This window comes from Homo sapiens, chromosome 11, assembly GCF_000001405.40.
Source record: "Homo sapiens chromosome 11, GRCh38.p14 Primary Assembly".
In the NCBI taxonomy this organism is placed as follows: Eukaryota; Metazoa; Chordata; class Mammalia; order Primates; family Hominidae; genus Homo; species Homo sapiens.
This window is the reverse complement of record NC_000011.10, coordinates 104,331,291-104,356,604: the sequence shown is the minus strand read 5'-3', so window position 1 is coordinate 104,356,604 and position 25,314 is coordinate 104,331,291. Positions and strand designations below refer to the sequence as shown.

The window sequence follows — 25,314 nt, the reverse complement described above, 5'->3', positions numbered from 1 at the left end:
ATTACTTGGTATCTTATAAAGGTTTGAAATGAAAATAAAAGCACCATAATAAACAAAAACATAAGAAACTTGGAGATTTTTATCATCATTATGAAAACAAAACCCTAAGTCACAGATGCATATTATTATTAAACCGTAAACTGAGTTTACAAAATTTCAAGTAGGCTAGAAATTTCTCTTATAACAACCTATAGCAAATAAGACAAACTTTAAATTCATGTCTTTACCTTTGGTTCCCACCCATCCAGGTGTCCATCAATAGAGCAAAGGGGTCATTCTGGAGAAAGCAAATGCTTCCCCCAGTCTTCAAGCAATGGTATAAGGGTTCTGCCCAGGAGAAGGCAGGCCATTAGGGCACAATTCCACAGCTCTATCTGAGGGGATGAACTTTATTTGGTACAGAGAGTGGAGAACTCCATGCTTAAAGGTTTTGTCCAAAACAATGAAGATCTCAGTGGTGAGCAAGTAAGAGAAGGCTGATAGCTCCATGATACAAGAAAAATGACGGAGTAGCCAGAAGTTTCATAGCAAGAACCAAGAAAAGAAACAGCTAAGAAGAGCCCTCCTGAGATCACCATCACTCTTTGGGTCAGGAAGTCTGTGTGCATGTACTAGGTTACCTCCATTCAGGAGAAATCAGAGCTGGATACAGGGATGAACTGCAAGCATTCCCCAGTCTACACACAGACCCATCAACACAGGGCGAACCGTCACTGGCACAAGCAGCTTAAACAAAACTGATAAATCACACTCATCCCTCACAGTCTGGAAGGCTATGTACATTTCCAAAGTAGTGTCCTCTCATGAATAAATAGAGAATCTCCCAACTAGTAATCATCAGTAACAGAAAGTGAGGCAAAAATACATAAACTCCCTGAAGTGTGCTAGGAAGCTTTAAAACAGACACACACACACACACACACACACACACACACACTCCTAACTTTTGACCAATATGTGGCATGCCCAGGGGCAAAACCTAGGTGGCCAGATGGAAACCTAAAACTGAGGGAAAACAAATCTGAACAAGATCATCATAAGCTACATATTGCTGTGGAAATAAACTGCATGATTAGCTCAGCCAAGTCACTGAACAAATAAGCAAATATCCAAGCAAACAGCAACCACAACAACTCTGGGGGTGGGGAAGGGGTTGAAAAATCAGGATCCAGAGATTCTACAGCATATCATTCAGTTTTCCACAAAAAATATATGAGCCATACAAAGAAACAGGAAACTATTATCTATACACAGAAAATAAGCAGGTAGTAGAAGTCGCCTTTGAAGGGACCCAAAGGATAAGCTTAGAAGATAAACGTGTGAAAGCAGCTATTATAAATATGTTTAAGGAACAAAGGAAACTATGGTTAAATACCTAAAGGAAGGTCTGATGACAATGTTTTATCACACAGAGAATACAAATAAACACATGTAGGCTGGGCGCGGTGGCTCACGCCTGTAATCCCAGCACTTTGGGAGGACGAGAGGGATGGATTGCCTGAGGTCAGGAGTTTGAGACCAGCCTGGCCAAAATGGTGAAACCCTGTCTCTATTAAAACTACAAAAATTAGCCAGGTGTGGTGGCGCATGCCTGTAGTCCCAGCTACTTGGGAGGCTGAGGCAGGAGAATCACTTGAACCCAGGAGACAGAGGTTGCAGTGAACCATTGCTCTTCAGCCTGGCGACAGAACAAGACTCTGTCTCCCGGCACCCCCTGCCAAAAAGACATGTAAATTATAAGAAAAACCCAAGTTGAAATGCTGGATCTGGAAGTATGATAACCCAAATGAAAATCTCACTAGAGAGGTTTGACAGCAGATTTGTGCTAGCAAAAGGTAGAACCAGTAAACCTGAAGACAGATCAATGGAAATTATGTACTAAGCATAGAAAGCATAAAGGATGAAGATATATGAACAGATACTCAAGAGAAATATGAGTTGCTATTAAGCTAACCCATATATGTGTAATGGGAGTATCAGAGAAGGACAGAGAATGAGAAAGGAACAGAAGAAATGCTTAAATAAGTGATGGTTAAAATTTCCCAAAGTTGATGAAAAACTTTGATCTGCACATGCAAGAAGCCAGAGGAACTCAAAGTAGGATAGACACAAGGAGATTCACAGACACTTCGTAGATGAAATGTTGATATCCAGAGATGAAGAGGAAATCTTAAAAGTAGCAAGAGAAAAAAAAATTACTCATCAAGTATAAAGGAACCCCAATAAGATAAGCAGCTGACCTCTAGCCAGAAAAAAAAATGTAGGCCAGAAGGCAGTGGAAGAACATACTCAAGATGCTTAAAGTAAAAACTGTCCACCAGAATCTTATACCCAGCAAAACTACCTTTCAAAAGTGAAAGCAAAATAATGACATTCCTAGATAAACAAAAACAGAGAATGTATTGGTAGCCCTTCTAATTTCCAAAAAATACTAATGAAAGTTCTTTAGGCTGAAAGCAATGACACTGAAAGTAACTTGAATCCACATGGAAAAAAAAAAAGAATACAAATAATGGTAATTTATGTAAGTAATTACAAAAATCAATATAAAGGAATATTTCTTCTTCCTATCTTATTTCAGAAGTCCAATGTGCTATCCATTGCATGACAGAGCCAGACCCTATCTTATTTTAAAAGGAATTGTGTAAAACAATATGTATGTACTTGTATTATTGGGCCTATAACAGATAGAAAAGTTATATACTTGATGGTAACAAAACAAAAGAGCTGGGTGGGAGCAAAACTTTTTTGGAAAAAGGAAATGGCACAAGATGATAATTATTATACACAAGCCAAAATTAAGAAAACTATAAATGGAAAATAAGGTTGATATAAAAAAAACTCTGTAAATATGGTCTTTCTCTATTTTTTCTCTGAGCTTTTTAAAAAGAGATTATATCAAATAAATAAATAACGTATCATTGATTAAATAACATACATATGTATAACAATATTAACATAAAAAAGAATTGCAGGAAGGGAGCAACATAGGATTAAACTTTTATTTTAATTGGAACTAAGGGAATGCAAAATCTGAAGCCAATTGTGATATTGTGAGACCTCTAGATCAACCACCTAGAAGTAACTAAAAAATATATAATTAAAAGTATCAAAAGAATAGATAGAAAATATTCATTTAATAGAGAATAAGAAAATGGAAGTGAAATAAAGAACAAAAACGAGATATGAAGAAAGCAAAGTAAAAGGCAGATGCAAATCCAGTAACATCAATAATGGCATCAAGAGCAAATGGACTAAACAATCTTCACATATGGGGATGATGATCATATTAGTTTAAAAATACAAAATCCAAAGTTTTTTTTTTTTGCCCGGCTAGAGTGCAGTGGCACAATCATGGCCCACTTTAACCTCAAACTCTTGGGATCAAGCAATGCAATCCTCCCATCCCAGCCTCCTGAGTAGCCAGAACTACAGGTGTGTACCACTAGGCCTGGCTACATTTTCTTTTAAATTTTTTATAGCGACAAGGTCTCACTATGTTGCCCAGGTTGGTCTTGAATGCCTGGCCTCAAATCATCATTCTGCCTTGGCCTCCCAAAGTGCTGGGATTTTAGTCATGAGCTACTGCACCTGGCTCAAAAATGCATTCTTAAGCCAATAATCCAATAATAAAAATTCTCTTATGTAATCTAGCTCTTCCCAAACGTGAATTATTCTGAGATGAGTAGGAAAATTAATTAAAACCAGTATTCCTTTAACTGAGATTTCTGTATCCATTTTACTGAAACTTCTACAGCCATGACACATTGAATTTATATTGTAACATATAAAGCAAACGTTGTGTCTATAAAACATGAAAAAATTATTGCAGGGGAGTTTTTTGTAACGTCAGCTTTAGTTTATGGCTAATAAGATCAGCTAAACAATGTTCTATTGTCTACACTTAACTGAGTAATTTTGGACTGAATGCTATAAAAAAAAGTTGGCAATTTGATTAATTGATTCACCTGACTTTGTGTAACCATAGCCTTTATAATTCCAAAATGCAGTAAAAACATTTTATTTGTGTTTCAGAATAGTCAACACTCGATGAAAAAATACATTCCTTAAAATTAACCTGTAAATATTTTGTCTAATTAGAAGCAATTTAAGAAGGATGATTCAAATATTTCCAAAAGAAGGTTAATATTGAATATTTTCCTTATCTTTAGAATTTTCACATTATTTCAAGTATGTACATTCAAGGTCCATTTAAGTGTTCTATTGTACAAGTTTGAGTTTCATGTAATGTCTGCACTTCCCTAAGCAAAATAACAATTTGAATACTATGGAAAGTACAGTCATGCATCATTGAATAAGGATACGTTCTGAGAAATACACAGTTGGGCGATTTCATCACTGTGTAAACATCATAGAGTGTTTTACACAATCCTAGATGTTATCTCCTACTACACACCTAGGCTATAAGGTATAGCCTATTCCTCCTAAACTACAAACCTGTACACCATGTTCTGTACTGGATACTACAGGCAATCGTAACACAGTGGTAAGTATTTGCGTATCTAAACTAGAAAAGGTACAGTAAAAACATGGTAATATAATCTTATGGGACCAATGTTTTCTACACAATCCATCATTAACTGAAACATTTTTATGCAGTGCATGAATCTATTTGAGATTTTTTATATTATTATACATATTTTATCCTAATATATGTTCATACAAAATTTCATTTAAATTTTACGATCATTGCATTCTCTGTGGTCAGAAATAATGGTATAGGCAAATGAATAATTCTTTGCTTTCTTATGTATATGCCTTTAATCATAGAAATGGTTTGGTTTTGATTACTTCAAAATTAATTCATTGTTTTCCTAGGTCACATCTTTATGTGAGTGAATGATGAGTGAGTAAATGAGCAAATAAATTCTTGTGTCCATTTTTTTTCCAGTAGGATCTAAACAGAAATGAAGCCTACCAAACACAGAAACATTTTTTATATGCATGTCACAGGGCTTTAATTTTGAACTTTGTTTTGAAATGAAAGAATTCCTATTACATGGAAATTATGTCAATACAAGTTTTTAAATATCATTAATAAGCACTTAATGTTGCTCTTAGATGAATTTTATGCATTTAGTAGTATGTATGATTCCTTGAGACAAAATGAAAAGATAGGTAATTCCCAGAAAGCACCCTAAAGCTGAAGCCATTACAAAACTACAGATTTCTTATTAAAAGGAATATGCATTATTTTGTAATTCAGTAAATATATATTGGTTACCTAAAATGCAGCATTATAGTAAAGGCTAATAATAAAACAATATAAAATATAGACATCACTCCAGTTCTCAGATACCTTACAGATTAATACATCACTAGATTAGAATCCGTAAGACTTTCAGAGATATGGATAGAAAACAAAATGACTTAGATTTTGGAAAGTATATCATAACATAAAAAAGTGTAATGCTTGATTCCTTCAATGTAATATCGTAATACACATTTATTATAAAGATGCTGATGTAGACCAAGTCATTTCTACCTCTTCTTATTAAAATCATTTGAGTCTATTTTACATTTTTTTGAAATCTCCTGTGATCTCAAATTTCAACCCTTGCAGACAAATTTGATTTTGTAAGTAATTAACAAACTGTAGAATTATAAGAATATTTTTAGCTATAATAGCAAAGTAAAGCATATTTAAGTTTGAATTGGTTGAAAGAAAAAAATTCTAACAATCCACAACTTCTGTCTCTTTCCAGAAAGAAGTTAACAGTATCCCTGATGCATTTACTCCACAGTCTCTACCTCAGTTTAGGAATTTTTGTTTTTTCTTCAGTTCATTGTCCTCTTCTAAAGTATAAGTTTCAGTGGTTTTATAAGTAAACTGCTTAATAATTGCTTAATCCTTCCATAGATCAGTTTCCTCATCTGTAAGATGTGGATCATAAATGTGCCCACATCACTAGGTTTTTGTTGGAATTAAATAAAAACTGTATATAAACCATTAAAATAGAGTGCCACCAGTTCAATCACAGGCTAATTCATATACTTTAGCTTTAAGAGTCCAGTTTTCCTCATACACTCAAAAAACTGTCTCTTATCATTGATTCTGTCTTCCACATAATGTGTTATCTTTCTCAAGATAATGATCTTTGTCAAGATAATTTTTATCAGGCTGCAGATATACCCTGCCAGGTGAAAAAAAATAATACTTCATGTCTGTTCTGAGATAACGATTCATTTCTCTGTGCCTTTCCATAGCAAAGTACTCACCACAGTAATTTTATCTCTGTTTCTTATTTCCCAGTGTTTTTCATTTTCCTCCAACTAAGTTTCTATTCTCACAACTAAGTAAAACTGTACAAATCCAAGTCATCTATAACTTCCACATTGTCAAACCCACGTGACTCTGTACATGCCTTTTCTAACTCTGTAAAGTACTTATGAACATCTGCGGTCCCTTTCCTTGGGTCTTCTAGTCAATCATCAGCAAGATCCCTTATATTCTCAGTCTCTTCTCTACAATTTCATTCATCTTAGTGGATTAATTCAACCCCATCTGTCACCTGATGGTTCTCCTTCCTTAGGGTCTCTCATATATTGACTGTTTGCTTTCCCACACCCCACATACCTCTGGTCCTCAGTTAGGGTAGGTTTCCCTTTGTTCTGGATTGGCATGGCCAAAGAATGCATCCTTTTACCCTTGAACCTGTAGATGGTTAAGGGTGCCCTTCTGTCCTCCCTAAATACTTCCAGTTTGAATCACCTGTCATGAGACTAACCCTCCTTAGTTGAGTCATCTACTGATCCTGGGGGCAACTGTCCCTCTTTTCTTGAAGATTTTACATCAAGATTCAATGTTATTTTCTACAATATAACTGTTATTTTATTTTTTTAATGATTTCACTGTGTACATAAAAAAATCCTTACAACACCATGGCTATTTTTCCTATGTGATACCAATTTCATTGAACAGAGCAGTTTTTGAAGAAGCATACTCTGGGAAGCTGTGGTCTGGAGCTTAGGAGAGGCTTTAGAAAGAAAATAATTTATATCTGGGCCTTAAAGATGAAAGTGAGATTTAGCAAAACAAAAGGGGATAAAGTGTAGGGAAATTGAAGGAGACAATGTGGCTGAGAAAATATATGTAAAAATTTCTTTCCTAAATAGACCTCAAAAGTATATTATTTCTCTACTTAAGTTGTCTTCCCTCCCCTCTCTGTACATGAAATTCCTTCACAACTTTTAGGGCTTGGAACAGAACTTAAGACTTTTGTACCAACATTCCCCAACCACCTTAACAAAAACCAAGCAGCCTGCATTTAAATTCTGACTGCGCTATCATCAGGATTATTTATTAAACACTTCTCATATGTGAACTTTTTTACATTTTTGTTTGTGCCTTCACATAACTTCCTCAGTGCGAAGAATATGCTGTGTTTGCCGAGGGAAGGAAGGATGATGTCTAACACATCTTTTATACCTCTCCTTTCAATAAAAGCTAATGTCAGGATAATGTATAAAGCAAATTTTAAAAGAAGTGGAATATCTTTATGAAAAACTTTTACAAATACATGTACATATATCATTGACAGTATGCTTCTCACAACAGTAGGCATAGAGTTTGTCATAGGTCACACAGAGTCACACAATCACAAGTGAAAGACACCTTCAAGTTATTCCCTTTCTTTGAGCAAATGAGAATACAGAGGCCAAGAGACAGTAAATGGTATATCCCTATTACAGAGCCACAAGTCTGGAACTGAAATTTAGGTCTTTTACTTCCTTAGTTATTATACTTTCTACTACACCATTCTGCTCCACAACCATTACAATAATCACTGGCATTATTATTATACCTTATTAAGGATATGTAAAACCAAATATGTTTTATTAGAACCCTCAAATCTATTCACATGAGTATAGACATCACTGTTGCTACTCATTTTACATTCTTTCCTGCTCACAAATTAATGGGTCCTTCAAGATGCATTGCCTTCCCTAAAACAGTGTTCACATTTTTCAGTGCTCACATCTGTTTGCTGGAAAATTCCAAACACTCATTAGGCAAATGATTGCTTGTATTAGTAAAAAAATTTACTGGAAGATATTATAATCCCAAGAATAAAATGAAGCCATGAGCAACACAGCTTGATGACCCAAGCTTTAGAAGCACTATAATTTCTCTGAAAATACAATTAGAGTTAGGCAATATGTAGCATGTTATTGCAATAAAAATAAATTAATAAGTTATGCCATAATTTCTTTTGTTCACATTATGTTTTTATTTTCTGTATGTTGTCCTAGGTTCTAAACTGCATTCTTTGAAAGAAACGGTGTTGTCACCTTGCTAATATCCTTGGACATTCAAATGCTGAACTAAAGCTGCTTTCATAGACACTTAGCTACCACCAATCCTGGGTCATATATTACTGATAACATTGATGAGGTTTATGGCTACATCTGGTAGATTTGCCACACATTTTGTAGTGCCTTTGCTGTGCACTCAGCATGTAACAAAGGTGAGAGACATTCTGTATTAGTCCGTTCTCATACTGCTAATAAAGACATATCCCAGACTGGGAATTTATAAAGGAAAGAGGTTTAATTGACTCACAGTTCTTCGGGGCTAGGGAGGCCTCAGGAAACTTACAATTATGGTGGAATCAGAAGCAAACACATGTTTCTCAGGGCGGGAGGAAGGGGAAGTGCCAAGCAAAGGAGAGAAGATCCCCTTAAAAAACCATCAGATCTATGAGAACTCACTCAGTCTCAGGAGAACAGCATGGGTGCAGTGGCCGCCATGATTCAATTACCTACCATTGGGTCCCTCTCATGACACATGGGGATTATGGGAACTACAAGATGAGGTCTGGTGGTGGGGACACAGACAAACCATATCACATTCTGTGCTCTGTAGTTGCTTACCAAGTGTCTTAGTCTGATTCTGCTGCTATAGCAAAAGGCCGTAAACTGGGCAGTTTATAAACAACAGAAATTTGTTTCACACAATTCTAGAGGTTGAGAAGGTCAAGATCAAGGCACCAGCAGGTTCAATGTCTGGTGAGCTCTGCTTTCTGGTTCATAGACAATGCCTTCCTTCTTGCTCTGTCCTCATTTGGTGGAAGAAACTAGCCAGCTCTTATAATATGGTGAGATTGCATAGGCAGTAATCCCGATCATGAGGGCTTCACCCTCACGATCTAATCACTTTCCAAAGATCTCACCTTCTAATACCATCACCTGGAAAGTTAAGATTTCAACTTATGCATTTAGGCCAGTGGGGAAACACAAACATTCATACCCTAGGATCGAGCTTATAATTATAGAAGTAAAATTCCCTTAACCTGACCTACACTTAACAAGCTAAGTCTCTTTTCTCTGAAAACATAACTATTGATGTTTGTAACATAGTGAAAAGATGTGGTTATTAACAGAAATCTTGCTCTTCAAATTGTGATCCAAGGATCTGCAGCAGCAGCCACAACTGAAAGCTTGTTAAAAATGCCGACGTTCAGGCCACAAATCTAGGCCTACTAAATCAGAATGTGAATTTTATCTCTTATGCACGTTAAAATTTGAGAAGCAATACTCTAGTATACCCAATCACTTCTGTTCTTTCTACCTGGGATATATGCTTACCACGTGTCAGTTGCATTTGTTCCTATATGCACAACTCTTTAAAATAGCCTGTGTGTTGTTGTAATGAAAAAATGATGACATGAATCCAGAAAGAAAGGTAGTTATCATTTTTATCATTTTCGCGTGCTAAGTTACATACTTTGCCAAGATTCCGTAAAAGTAAATCATGGCTATAATGGACATTGAATTAGTTAGGCAGAACAACTATTAATATTTAAAAAGGGTGGAAATTGTAAAAATCCAGAGTGATTCCGAATTTGGATCGCTTCATATGTGGCTTTAAGTCTCCACGTTAATTTAAATATATCAAAATAGGACATGCTAGATGTTGCAGAAAACACAGCGTAGAACTTGTTGATCTATGTAAAAACATTTGTGAACAAAGTGCATCTCTATGGTTTGAGTAAAAACAATAGATGGGGCCAGATCTCAGAGGCTCTTCAGGAAACAAACAGTCAAACATTATTCCAATCTTGCTTATATAATTTTGTATACAGAGATAAGTAAACTATTGCTAAGTGGGAATATGAAACTCAAGAAACATAGTATGGACTAATAGAAAGGGTATAAGTTCAGTTTTGTGTAATTCATTCATTCAACAAATATGTCCAGAAAATCTGCCAGACATAATAGTTGCTGAACATACAATGTGAACAAGACAGACATGATCTGTCTTCACAGAGGTTCCCTCTGGCAGGGAGATATAACCCTCTAAATTGCTTGCTTTTATGAAAGCTCAGGTTTCTCCTCCAGAGAGACAATCTTATCTACTTCATAGAGTTTTGCTGAAGGTTAAGTGGGATTATGTTGTATCTAGAAGTTCAATAAATCTAATCTCCCTCTTTACCTTTGTTCAATATATAATAGAAATCATTGGAGTTTCTTGAGCAGAGGACTTCCATGAATCAGAGGTTCTTTTAAGAAAATCAATTTAGCTTGTAGAACAATTAGTTTAGGTGGGAAGGAATGCATGGTGTTCTTTACTGGGGAGATATGAGAGACAATTTACAGTAAGAACTCACTTTTCCTGGCTGAGGAAGCTTCCCAGCTAACCTTTGGAGTTCCTCCTGAAGCACTAGCTTCTCTTTCCACTCCCACCAGCTCCACTTCTCCAATCACTTGAGTAGTTTTATTCTTGAGATGCAAGCAAAAAGCAAATAACCTCTCTGGAATATTTCTTGTTCCTAAAAAGCCATACATGTCATTTTTATGTGATTTTAGAGAAATATTTTTAAAATAAAATTATAGGAATATAGTCCAATAATTGGTAGCCACACCTTCTAAACAAAGCTTCCTGTTTCCCAGAAAATTTCTAACCCACATTAGTACTTAACGCATCCAATACTCTCAACGCCACTATCTCCCACCTTGCCCTCCACCACATGCTCCCATATCCTCTTATGATTCGCAGCTTTCTAGATTCTCTTCCATTTGGTCTCTCACCTACTTCTCATTTCTTCCCAAGGCTTCTTTTAATTCAACAAATTTTATTCAGTATTTGTAATAATCATTCCTGTTTTATAAATAGTTAATAGAAAGGGAAGATATTTGTATCAATTAAATCAAGTTCTCTATTTCTCTGCCATGATATATAAATTATAAAGACCTAAAATGTTTCTTTTGCCTTACAAATCTACTTCTCTTTTAAATATAGATTTGATAGCAGAGGGCACACCAATAAACACACAAGCACAAATGTAACATCACTTTAGAGACTTTATCTTCAAAATCATTACTAAATTTATTATGTTTTATAGAATTACATCTAAAACTTAGCTTGGCTGGGCACACTGGCTCATGCCTGTAATCCCAGCACTTTGGGATGCCAAGGCAGGAGGATTGCTTGAGTCCAGGAGCTCAAGACCAGTCTGGGCAGCATAGCCAGAATTTGTATTTACAAGTAACAAAAAAATTATCCAGGCATGGTGGCACACACCTGTGCTCCCAGCTACTCAGAAGACTGAGGTAAGAGGATCACTTGGGCCTGGGAGATCGAGGCTGCAGTGAGCCATGATTGTGCCATTACACTTCAGCCTGGGCAATAGAGTGAGGCCCCATCTCAAAAAAATTTTTTTAATAAGTAAAAACTTTTAAAAAAATAAAAATTAGTTTAATGTCATTCAGTTGGAAGAGTATGGGCTTTAGAGTGAGGAAGATGTAAATTGGAAACGATGCTCTGACACTTACCAGTTCTGCAATCTCAGGCACATTACCTAGTTACTGACCTTCACTTTCTTCATTTTCAAAGAAAGTTTTTCCAATAGTATAGACTTGTAATGAAAATTAGATGTAATACCTAAAATGCCATATAATAAATACAAAAGTGTGTGTTTTAGTTGAAAGGGAATGTTAATTATTTGCAAAAGGTTGAGTAGGACTTCTTTTCTGAAGACAATTAATTTTTGTCCATTGCATGGTATTCTGTTCTAGTATTTAAATTTGTGTAACTTACATATATATTGACCAAAGCTTTGCACTTGTTGCCAGAATCAATGAATTTTCCATGTATTAAGAAATACTTATTCTATCTGTACATAAAATGATTCAATGTGACCACTGATAAATTCTGCACATTTATACACAAAATACTGAAAACGTATTTTCTTTTCAAATTCTCACTGTTGTCCAATGATTTCGGAACTACTTCAGAATGATAACTTATGTGACAGTTCTGAGATTTTTAAGGAATTCATAAAATATATAATAAACCTTTGTGTCTCTCAAGTTTTTTTAATCCTAGAAAGACTGAGTTCAACTTATATCTGTGATTCAAAATGTCATGCTTACTTATGCTGTGCTTATAATTTTGTGAACCTTGAGACCACACTGCCCTCATACATTCTTTGAACACAGTCATTTCTTGAAACTTCCATTTTGTCTCAGGGTTCATCCAAGTAACTGCTTATTCTGTTCTCCCCTTTCAGAGAAGATTTTAATATTTCCCTCCAATTCTGAAGTGGTCAGAAGGACCAGAGAATGGATCAATTCAAAAGCAGCATTCTCCTAGGAGTATATTAATTATGATTAACAAGTCAAATTATATTGCTCCAGGTGCTGCACTGAAGAAGAAAAACAGTGCTCTAGGAGTGTGCCTGTCTGACAGGTGTGGATGTGACTCCAGTCCTAACAAGAATACAACAGGAACCAGGAAAGAAAATCACTTAAGTGGTAAAAAATACAGCAAAATTGCAATACCAGTGGCTACCACAGAGGTCTCTGAGAATTAAGTGTGTAATTTCAGGCACAGTATGGGTCCAACTAAACAACACTTACTTTTGTGATTGTATTGCTTCTTTTTAACTGTTAACCATTTAAAATCCTCATTTCTCCCCCTTTAATCTTAACATGTTTGGAGAAGAGAGAAAAGGTTAATTTGCATTTTTCCACACACGGTCAGGGACCCAGTACATTTCCACTGTGCCTCTCTACTTCTTCATTTATTCATGTTTTCTCCCTTTATTCATTTATAAAATATTTGAACACCTGTTAAATAGTTACCACTGTGCCTATTGCCATCTGCCACATCATAAAATAGAGACATTTTTCTCCAGTATATTGCCTGAACAGTAGCTAAATGACATAGTAGTTTCCTGAGAGGATAAGCCCATTGTCCACTTCACTTGTGAACACAAACCCAACTCCAGACAGAGTTTACCTTAGAGTGAATACAATCTAATGAATCCATAAGCAAATGTATTTGCTGGAGAGAACTTGTAATCTCTTATCCCAGAAAAGCCAGAAGCAATTGCTACATGGATGGGATTTGGCATAATGTTGTGCCAGAGGACACAGGAAATATTACTGCCTTAAAGTTTTCTGTAGACCCCAGGGTAGGTTTAATTTTGACAAGACTGCCCAAAAAGATAATGAAAGGTTTTTTCTACTTATATATTAAGTATTCAGATGGTTAGAATAATAAATATATCACAAATTATATATATACTACAGGTTATAAAATGACCATTTAATGACAATTTTTGCATTCGGTGGCAAATATAAAACACCTTTAAAGAATAGTAGTATTACTAAATGAGCTAAATGTCTACCATAAAGGCTTTGCGAAAATATTATACAAGGCCAGACCACTCTTACAAATAATTTAATCAATAAATATGATCAAAACCAACTAGTTCTGATTTAAATGATAACTTCATAACAATTATTTTCCAATTAAAAAATTTATAATTGAAATGAAGAATCAAATCTGCTCAAGTATAACACGAGTCCTTATGCTAAATAAAATTAACTTCATAAAACAAATCCCAAGCCATGACATTTTCTAGGATTTATTTAAGAAGTAATGCTAAACTCCCACTTGCTCCTGTATTTTTTTATTTTGTTATTAATACGGCTCAATTAAAACCTGTAGAAATTTTAAAATTAAACTCTACATTTGAGTCTGTACGTGTCACTTATTCATTCCTCACTTGATAGCAAATCATTCAAGTGAAAATACACCAGCAAAATCCTGAGCAATTTGAATGCAAATTAAATCAATACAATAACTTAGAAGAATTTGCCATTGTAAAGCATGCAAGTTCAGGCAGCTGCTCAGGATCCTTATTTTGTTTAGTTAATCTCTATTAGTATAACTATATTTAAGGCATTAATTGCAAACTCCATTTTTAAGTGTGATAAAGCCCAGAGCAATCAGAATTATAACCAAAAGGTGACTGTATTCAGGAAGCTAAAGAATAGATGCAGTTCCCATTCTAAACTAAGTCAAAATAACATACCTTGTCACATGAAAATCATAAAGTTAACTGCAGAAATCAATAAAAAAAGTTGCTTTCTCTTCCCATCATTTGTTCATACAACTAACAATGATTATGATTGTAGTTGAAAAAGTTATAGTGTAGATGTAAAATTTTTTTCAGAATATTCTGATGAATAATTCCAAAAGATAAGGTGTTACTCCATGAGTTTCTCTTTAGTTTCTGAGGTAAGCTTTCTCTACTATGAAAACGAACACCAACAAAGAAGCAGCACTGTAGTATCAAGTTCCAAACATGAGACAGGAATTAAAATGTGTTTTGAAGCCAATTTTAGTCACCTCCACATTTTAATATAAAACATTTTTAAAGAAAAGCAGTACAACTAAGTAAGTTACATGTTTACCGTAAAAGCTTTGGGAAAATATACAAACCCAGATCACTGTTGTAAATAATTTAATCAGTACATATTATTGAGCACTTGCATTTCACCAGGCTATTGGGCCAGGCAGGATTTGGGGGTACAGAGATGAATAAAGCATTCTGTAGTGTGGTGGGAGTGGGGCCCCTTATGTAAACAAAGACGAACTGCACAGTGTGGCTGGAGACCTATACAGGCATATATAATGTCTTGGGAACAAACAGGAGAAAGCTCCTAATTGTACCTAAAACAAGGTCAAGGCCCTCACAAAAGTGAAAAGACTTGAGCTGAGACAAGGAGAGAACAAGAAGACTCTCATACTTGCTTCAAAATTATAAAGACTCTGGATACATGGCAAAGCCTCCCAAAGCCCAGAGCCACCAGTGAGGGAGGAGTGACCTGAGAAAGGTTAGAGCATCTCAGTAAAGTTGAATTGGTCACCTATGCTGGTGACTGACTTACAAGTAGTCCAGGTGAAGCTGCATGATTTACCTGCAGGTTTAATCTACTGGTTAGAAATCTTTGGTGAACCCTCTGGTAATCTCCTAGACATGAGCAGCATGTCCATTTGCTATCAGCTTAACACATGGAAGAGTTGTTATTGTGCAGGTTCATATCCACTTAGCAGTGGGTTTGTACCTGGTAACAATCAAAATTAACAAAATGTGTCCTGGATTCCTATCTACCTCCCAACCTGTTGCTCCCAAGACATTACATATGCCTGTATAGGTCATCAGCCACACTGTGAAGTTATTCCCAACCTGGTTGGGAGATAGATAGGATTAATACTCTTTCTCTATGTGCCAATATTGCTCCTCAAACCATGCATTTTCCCTACTTCTGAATCACTATTTCTCCTTCCACTTCTCATGGCCTTAGCAATCCTGTAAAACTCCAGAAAGTGTGAAATAAAATGGTCCTTGCTATAGTTTTTATTTTTTTTTTCTCCGTGAGATTGCAGAAAAGAAAGACAAGTCATCAAAACCAAGGCCAGAGAACAAGTTAAAATGCTCTTGGAGAATTGACTTTCAGGACAGAGGAAATTAGATTTATTTGGCAAAACTGAGCCAAGGCAGGAGCCAAAGTCAGATGGATTAGGGTAATGAAAGCCAAAGACAGACAGTACTGATAGAAAGGAATTTAATCAGGAGAAAGAGCCCACGTGTGTGTAAGGTTGGATCTAGAGACTAAATCATGACCTTTTTAAAAGCAGAGAATCTGTCCCAATCTCCTCCTTAATACACAGAGGTAAGATACTGAGTTTTGAATGTATACAGTCATTCTAGTTTCTTCTGGCTATTCTAATAAACTGCTAATAGTGGATATTTTCCTTTGAAATAAATATATGTTCAAACCTCCTACATCATTTCAGTAATTTCTGGCACCAAGGTAAGCAGATGATGAAGAAAATTTTTGGTAAACAAGACTGCTTCTCTTCCTTAAAAATCACATCTATGATATAGGTATCCACGTCCATAGGTTGAGTAACCCAAGTCAGACACCCCTGTACTATTCAATCCATGTAGGTTGAGATGGGAGGGGTCAAGAGGAGAGTATGTAGTAAATGTGATACAATGTTAATTTAAAACCACACTAAATAAATTGATTTACTAATATAAGAACTAGAAATTCACATAAACCACATGAGAATTGTCTTTTCTCCTGGTTCTTTTTTCACCTGACCAAGGGCTGCTTTATTCCCTAAATGACACTCAGTTAATAATGAACATCAGAAGTTGTTTGAAAAAATGATCCTACTTACATAAATGATAAGCAAATTAATCTATTCAGCTGTATGATTCCACCTACATAAACTGCTGGCTCCAGATAAACAAAATACAAAATACAATCATCATCCCTTTGTGTCCGGAATTGGATCCTTCCGGTGGGTTCTTGGCCTCGCTGACTTCAAGAATGAAGCCATGGACCCTCGTGGTGAGTGTTACAGTTCAAGACGATGTGTCCCAGAGTTTGTTCCTTCAGATGTTCAGATGTGTCCCGCATTTCTTCCTTCCGGTGGGTTTGTGGTCTCGCTTGACTTCAGGAGTAAAGCCGCAGACCTTCGCAGTGAGTGTTACAGCTCTTAAAGGTGGCACATCTGGAGTTGTCTGTTCCTCCTGGTGGGTTCGTGGTCTGGCTGACTTCAGGAGTGAGGCCGCAGACCTTCACAGTGAGTGTTACAGCTCTTAAAGGTGGCGCCTCTGGAGTTGTCTGTTCCTCCCGGGTGGGTTTGTGGTCTCACTGACTTCAGTAATGAAGCTACAGACCCTAGCAGTGAGTGTTACAGCTCATAAAGGTAGTGCAGATCCAAAGAGTGAGCAGCAGCAAGATTTATTATGAAAAACGAAAGAACAAAACCGCCACACCCTGAAAGACTACCCAAGGGAGATGCGCTGCTGATTCAGGTGGCCAGCTTTTATTCCCTTATTTGGCCCCATCCACATCCTGCTGATTGGTCTGTTTTACAGAGCACTGATTGGTCTATTTTACAGAGTGCTGATTGGTCCGTTTTTACAGAGTGCTGATTGGTGTGTTTACAAACCTTTAGCTAGACACAGCACGCTGATTGGTGCATTTTTACAGAGTGCTAATTGGTGCATTTATAAATGTTTAGCTAGACACAGAGGGCTGATTGGTATGTTTACAATCCTTTAGCCAGACAAAAAAGTTCTCCAAGTTCCCCAGCGACCCAGAAGCCCAGCCGGGTTCACCTCTCACCTTTAATGTTTCATCTGATTGCATGTCCAAAATAATGTGTTCCTTTGAAACAACACATTTCAAGAGCAAGCAATAATCCAAAACTGTTATATCTGATAAAATCAAAACAGAAACAAAAAAGAACATCATTATTACTAGTCTACTCTGTAAATGTACTTTTCATTTTTATTTTATTTTTATTTATTTATTTATTTTTGAGACAGAGTCTTGCTCAGTTGCCCAGGCTGGAGTGCAATGGCATGATCTCAGCTCACTGCAACCTCCGCCTCCTGGGTTCATGCCATTCTCCTGCCTCAGCCTCCCGAGTAGCTAGGACTACAGACGCCTGCCACGATGCCCGGGTAATTTTTTTTTTTTTTTGTATTTTTAGTAGAGATGGGGTTTCACCAAGTTAGTCAGGATGGTCTCGATCTCCTGACCTCGTGGTCCACCCACCTCAGCCTCCCAAAGTGCTAGGATTACAGGTGTGAGCCACTGCACCCAGCCTGTACTTTTTTATTTAAACGAGGAATGCATGCACAACTTATATATCACAGAACATGCCCTGTGCAATAGCTTCAACTCCTGAAATATGCTCTCAACTCCTGAAATATGCTCTCTTTGGGTCCTTAGAAGTGGCTTATCAGAAAGTATTAGGATGAGAAATGGCACTTACCCACTAATATGTTAGTTTGGTTCAGACATAGTACATTTCAGGAGTTTAGACTTGTCCCAAACTCGATGAGAAAGGCAAGCCCTGGACAAGTCCTGTTGTACCTTCTTTCTATGTTACATCATAACCACAAACATTTTCACACACAATATTTTTACACAGAAAAAGATAAAAGTCAACATTTTAGAGTGCTTATTGTGTTTGTGGAAGGTAGAAAAGTATCACCATCAAATTGTACAGTTTTTTCTTTTTGGAAGTTATTACCTCAGCCCAGCAAAAATTTTACTTTCTCCCACCCAATTACTTCCCCAAGTCACTGCCAAACTCCTGGATACCACAGAAAGAAAGTCTTCCATTGCTCTGAACTGCAGAGCCAACCAAACAGGCCCTTCTTCTGTTTCCCCTCGATTCATATCTGATAATAGGTCATTTTACCCACTTGAAACTAATCAGGACCTTGAGCCAAATTATGACCTAGGAGGAAATCACAATGAAGATGGATACAAGGGGAGAAATAGGCAAGGGAGTCCCTTATAAACATTTAGGGCTAGCCTCATGGTAATCCACAGGAAGCCTGTCTGAAAAGCTGTGATTCCAGAACAATATCCCTGAGTGAAACAGAAGCAGATTTCTTCCCACTATGCCCGGTGTAATGAAGAAAAGTAAGACTTTAACAGCAGGACTTTCAAACAGTAGGTGCTTTTATTTCTTCATTGAGCTATGTTTCTACTCAGAACCTGTTAAAGAAGTTCTATTTTTTTCAGCACTCTGACCAAAAAAATGGGTTTTTTTACATTAAGCTCTCTGTGTCCCACCTTTTCCCAAAGTGATTCATTAAATTTACAAGATACATGGCATTTTGTGGAAATTTGTCATGGGACTGGCTGGTCTGTTCCTGAGTAGTAGGAGGTAAAGTGACACTACTAATACAAAGACAAGTCTGTCCAGGCAGAGAAGCCACCAAGGAGGGAGAGGCGGTTGGAGAAAGTCTACATTTCCAAGGGATACAGAGATTCTGGGTGACACCGGGTTATCCAAGGACAGCATGATTCATGACTGGCGGGGAAATAAAAATAGACATTGGGTCACAGATTTCTGCTTTTGTTCCTGAGTATGTAGGCATTAAATCAGATCATTCAATAATTACTATTCAGTCAAATAAGACTCAGCATCTCTAACTGATTCATTTTTTCTTTCTGTACCAGATAATTATTTCCTTCTCTACCTTTCTTTTGGATATAGGTTACGTGATAGTGTCCCCAATTTAATTACCTAAAGAACAGAAAAAATAAAACCCCCATTGAGAGCAAAATATGAAATAAAGTCTGCATTTAAAAACATCTAGGGATACACAGTACCAAAGCTTAATGTCTTCCAGCCCTGCACCATAATACAAAGATTCAGGTTTTGTGGGGCTGATTTTCCAGTTGCAGTGGAGTTTTAGAAAAAATAAATAAAATCACAAAAAATGAAGTATAAACATAAATGTACATTTAGAAAAGAAAATAAATTACTGATTTTTAAAAGCCAACAGATATATCATCATACATATTAGGAAATAACATAGTATTTGTATTAATTGCCTGATTACTTTTCATAATATACCTTTGTTTCTACAGTCTTCTGGCTGAATTCTCTTGATCTTCTCTTCATGTAGCAATGACATTGTAACATTTTCTACAGGGAAAGTAGAAAGATAATTCAGGGTTTTCTCTAGTTTGTTTTCAATTATTGATAATTTAGAAAGTTAATATGAAATTAAGGCTTACATGAGAGTAATTCAAAAGCATTTTAAGTTCCTTCTATGTTGTATTGAATTATACAATACGTAATCAAATTACTCTTACACTACATACATTGATTTATTGATGAGTATGTGTAGTTTTCTTACTAGAACTCTTGCTTCTTCAGATAATTTAAGTTTATTGATGGTGATTTGCATGCTCCCATTGACTAGAAGTACCAGATTTCATCAGAAAAAAAAAGTGTCAATGTGTCAAATATGCTAAGATGCAATTCAATGTGATTGAAAAAATAAAATTAGCAGATTCACATGAAGGTACACCAGATATTTAGAAAATTGCTACCAGTTTGTACCCTACAAACATAATTCTGAATTGTGTTTTAAAAACTGCCCATTAAAAAGCATGTTAAATTTATAATTTTAATACTTCTATGTCAAGTACATGACTCAAAGTAGAAAATTTTTAGTATTAGTAGTTGTCAATGAAAATTAAACTCTTCACTTATATTTTACACATCTGATGACTGGCAAAAATTTCCTTAGGCAGCTTCCAGCACACAAATGTTTAATCCTAGTTTGTCTCCCACTGCCTATAAACTTCTGGTACCGAGTGTCATGCAACATATTCATGTCCTGATACAGCGCCTGACCCTTCACTTTCTTGTGATGAAAACAGATGTAGCATCAGGGTGGAAGGTCTTCCTACAACAGAAAACCTATTAACAAATAGATTTACCATTTCTACTGGTCTTCATTTTTCGTATGTAGATGCAAATTTCCATCTGATATATTTTCTTTCTTCCTAAAGAATTTCTCTTAACATTTCTCATAGTGCAAATTTGCTGCTGCTATTACCTTTGGATCTCTGAAAATGTCTTTATTTTACCTTTATTTTTAAAAGATATGTTTACTGGATAAAAAGTTCTGGGTTGAGAGGGTTTTATTTCCCTCCCTCTTTCAGCATGAGTTCTAGTTTGTATTGTTCATACTCCACTTATATTTTACCCATTTGAGGATTGGGAGAATTTTCCATAGGCCAGCATCTGGAACATGTTTCAAAAACTTTTTTCCCTGCTGCCACCTCTACACTTCTGGTATGAGTGTTTATTATTATTCTTATTTGTATATATCTATACACTATGCAATGCCTTCTTGCTTCTAACTGCTTTTAGGATTTTCTCTTAGTCACTGGTTTAGAGTAATTTGTTAATGATGTCCTTCATTTTTCTTGTGCTCAGGCTTCTTTGCCCTACTGTGAAATTATACTGTGAATCAAATTTATAAATTATTTAGCTATTATTTCTTCATCTATTTTCTTCTGGGCTTATTCTTCACAGACTTCAGTGGTATACATTAGGCTGCTTGAGGTTGTCCTGCAGCTCAATGAGGTATTGTCCTTTTTTATTTTTTTCTGATTTTCTGTTTTAATTTGAATCATATCAGTTGTTAAGCCTTGACACTCACTAATCTGTTGACTGTTTTAAAAATCATCCAGGACTCTCTTTAACACATTCATGTTTTCTTCTAACTTCTTGAATAGCTGGAATATATTTATAATTGTTTTAATATGCCTGTCAACTAATTATTTTATCTGTGTTATTTCTTGATTTCCGTATTATTTACATATTTTTCTATCTTTTTGCATGCCTAGTATTTTTTAATTGGATGCCAGATATTATTAATTTTACCTTATTGGATCCTGAACAATTTCTGTATTTCTTTAAATATTCTTGAGTAGTTTTGTTATGGAATACAATTAAGTTATGTGGAAACCCTTTGATTTTTCAAGAATTTCTTTCAAAACTTGTTAGGCTAAACCACAACAGCCTTTATCCCAAGGCTAATTTTGCTGCATTACTGAGACCTTTTAATTACACTACTCAATGCCCTGTATGTTAAAAGTTTTTTTTGTTTGTTTTCACTTTGTGATGGGAACGCAAACTACTCCTGTCCTTGTGTGAGCTCCAGGGATTGTTCCACTTATTTTTCAGGTTGCTGTTTCTCAACCCTTGGGTGGTCACTACTCTTTATCTAACACTTGCTGATTGATACTCAGCTGAAGACTTTGCAGATCTCAAAGTCCTCTCCTACCTATGCAGCTCTTACCAATTCTCTTCCTATGTTCTCTCTGAGCTGTTTTCCACTCAGGCATAATGCTGACCTTTATTTGCATTATCCCTCCTTGTACAGCAGTCTGGAAACTCTCCCCAGTATTAACCTTGGTAATTGTAGTGCTTACCTTGTTTCTTTTCCTTCTATCAAGAATCATTATCCTGCCTGTTGTACAGTCTCTGAAAATTGTTGTTTGATATATTTTGTCTGGCTTATTATTTGGTTATGCCAGAAGGATAAGTCTGGTCTTTGTGATATGGTTTAGCCTTGCGTCCCCACCCAAATCTCATCTTGAATTGTAAACCCCATGTGTTGAGGGAGGAACCTGGTGGGAGGTGATTGGATCATGGGAGAGGTTTACCCCCTGCTGTTTTCATGATAGTGAGTTCTCATGAGATCTGGTGGTTTTATAATTGTTTGGCAAGTTCCTCCTTCACTCGCTTCTCTCTCCTGCCACCAGGGGGACCTGCCTGCTTCCACTTCCGCCATGATTGTTAGTTCCCAGAGGCCTCCTCAGCCATGCAGAACTGTGAGTCAACTAACCTCTTTCCTTTATAAATTAAGATACTATCCAGTCTGGGGAAGTATCTTTATAAACATGTGAGAATGGATGAATACACCTTGTAACTCTGTCATGGCCGGTAATAGAAGTCCATTAAGTATAACTTAATTAAATGTAGATATTCAGTATTAACCACATTAAAATACCTCAACTAAACCAAACCTGAGTGTATTCCAAATTCAGCTTCCAGTAGCTGGATCTCAATATGCTCACAGCCACTTCAAGGTGACCTGATGTTGACAAAGTATAACACAAAGGCAGTCAAGGTGGAAATACATTTTGGCACTTCCCTGATGGCTTCCAGGGAATTCTGATTTTCTTTTTTTAACCATCATCTTTTCCTTTGAGATGGAGTCTCACTCTGTCACCCAGGTTGGAGCGCAGTGGCACAATCTTGGCTCACTGCAACCTCTGCCTCCTGGGTTCCAATGATTCTTCTGTCTCAGCCTCCCGGGTAGCTGGGACTACAGGCACGCACCACCATGCCCAGCTAATTTTGTATTTTTAGTAGAGACGGGGTTTCACCATGTTGGCCAGGCTGGTCTCGAACTCCTGACCTCATGTGATCCACCTGCCTCAGCTTCCCAAAGTGCTGGGATTACAGGCATGAGCCACCGCACCTGGCCCATCATCTTTTATTTCTGTATGTGATGTGTATAAGTCTTGTACTGCCTGGAATTTTACAGCTAAAACATATATCTTAATGGGTTAACAGAACACAGAATTTTTACACATAGGTTATAAGAATCATTTTTTTCATAAATAAAGAAAGAGCAGCCACCTATATTTACCCTCCCTTGTCATCTTGATCAACATCCCAACCCTGGTCTAATTTTCAGCTACATCTTCTGAGAATATATTCACCCCTGTGGCGTAACTTCTATGGAACATTGTGACTGGAACCATTCCATAGCAGGTACCCCTTTTTTCTTTAAAATTTTTTTTCCTTTAAAAAGTGTTTCCTTTTTCTTTCATTTTCTTTAGTACTTGGAAGTTTACAACCACACCACAATTTAGTCAAAAGTAGAAAATTAGGCCAGGTGTAGTGGCTCACACCTATAATCCCAGCACTTTGAGAGGCCGAGGAGGAAGGCTCACTTGATTCCAGTAGTTTGAGAACAGCCTGGGCAACACAGTGAGACCCTATCTCTACAAAAAATATATTTTAAAAAATTAGCTGGGCATGATGGCACATGACTGTAGTCTCAGCCACTCGGGGGGCTGAAATGATGACACCACTGCATTTCAGCCTGGATGACAGAGCAAGATGTTGTCAAAAAAAAAAAAAAAAAGAGGTAGGCCATCAGTCATTAATTTTTTCAAGGACAGCTTCCAGTAGAAACAAAGATATATAACACACCCACCCCACGCCAACCCAACAATACTTATCCTTGAAGTATTTCAAGCCAACGAGTGAATAGTTCCACTACAAGGGCTTTGCATTTTCAGGGTATAAAATAAAGACCTACATGACTTCTTGTGTGTATTCCTAAGGAGGAGCAGAAGACAGTGTATCTGGATTTTAGAGGTAGCAGATAATAGAGGCAAGGCTCACATGGCTTTCTTGGGACCAGAAGTGGCATTCAACACTAAAATAAGTGAGTGTGAATTACTATAATTTTAGGAAATCAAGCATGCAACACATCTGGCCACACTTAAAGTGAGAGGATGGGCTCATCTACCCTGAAACAACTGGTCCCTGGGAGGGAAGCTTGACCAGCGGCAAAGCCGCACAACAATGGGCATGCATCATCTGTCAGCCTAGGGGGCGCTAGGCTTCAACAGCTCTCCTCTGCTCAAGGAAAGAGCCAGTAATGTGAACGTAGTTAGACCCTGGTTCTTCATAGTCTGAATAAGATTCTGAGTCCCTGAAGAAAAGGAGAAGACCCTCAAAAAGATAGTGCTGAATTTCCTGCTGCTGGAAAATGTGACCAGTTCTAGTAATACAGAAATAAATGTACTTCTGTGAAAAGTTAAGCTGCTCATTCTGTTACCATTTTATAATTAACATTGTCAATGAGATTCACCCAAAAGAATATCTTAATCAATTCTTAAATTTGGAAATTAATAAATACAAGTTTTATTCCAAATTCCACATATGGAGAAAATGCAGTATGCATGTTTTTTTGTTTGTTTTGCTTTTTAAAACTTTATTTCATTGTAACTATGCTTACAGAAATATACTCATATTGGCTAATAGAATGCAAGTTTAACTTATCCTACACAATTTGGACCAAAAACTTGATTTGAAAAAAAGGATTGCAATGTGTTTTTTTGTTTGTTTGTTTTTAATCTATTACAAATCCATAAAAGATCCTACATCAAATTCTGCTAAAGAAAGCAGCAAGAACTTTGAGAAATTTACCTTTGGTTTGCCTCAGACAAATAACATTTATTGCACTGCATAAGTTTATAAAATTGGGGCAACAAAACATTGTTGTAGAAGGGCGTGAACCCGGGAGGTGGAGATTGCAGTGAGTGGAGATCTTGCCACTGCGTTCCAGCCTGGGCAACAGAGCGAGACTCCATCTCAAAACAAAACAAAACAAAACAAAACAAAACAAAACAAAAACATTGTTGTAATATTTTTCAATGCCAGTTTAGAAAGTTCAATAACTAATGGATATGGAAGGGGCTGGGAGGGAGGCTATGTAAACATGCGAAATCGTAAAAGCTATTTGATTTAGTTAATATTGTATGTAGACTGTAAATCTACAAAAACCAGGATTCAGATAATCTCTTCAATCTCAATTGACACTATTTGTTCACTTCACCTGCTGAGGG

At 36.5% G+C, this 25,314-nt stretch overlaps 1 long non-coding RNA gene across 2 annotated transcripts in view, besides 1 other annotated feature; it reads right to left on the bottom strand.

Moving 5' to 3' along the window:
* LOC102723879 (uncharacterized) overlaps positions 1-25,314 on the bottom strand; it is a 78,954-nt gene that overhangs the window by 2,360 nt on the left and 51,280 nt on the right. Inside the window, exons 2-3 of one of the 2 annotated variants that reach the window (XR_428991.3) lie at positions 19,718-19,789; positions 17,461-17,552 (exon numbers count right to left, since the gene is read on the bottom strand). This is a non-coding gene — a long non-coding RNA (uncharacterized LOC102723879). Of the gene's footprint in view, positions 1-17,460; positions 17,553-18,818; positions 19,169-19,717; positions 19,790-25,314 lie in introns of those variants that run through there. The other variant, XR_001748077.2, reaches the window with a different exon arrangement.
* Positions 17,224-18,423: an enhancer, noted in NCBI's record as "BRD4-independent group 4 enhancer chr11:104208910-104210109 (GRCh37/hg19 assembly coordinates)". NCBI's record gives its function as "activates an origin of replication core promoter dependent on BRD2, P300/CBP, MED14 and CDK7 cofactors, and independent of BRD4, by STARR-seq in HCT116 cells {active_cell/tissue: HCT116}" and the evidence as "EXISTENCE:reporter gene assay evidence [ECO:0000049][PMID:35650434]".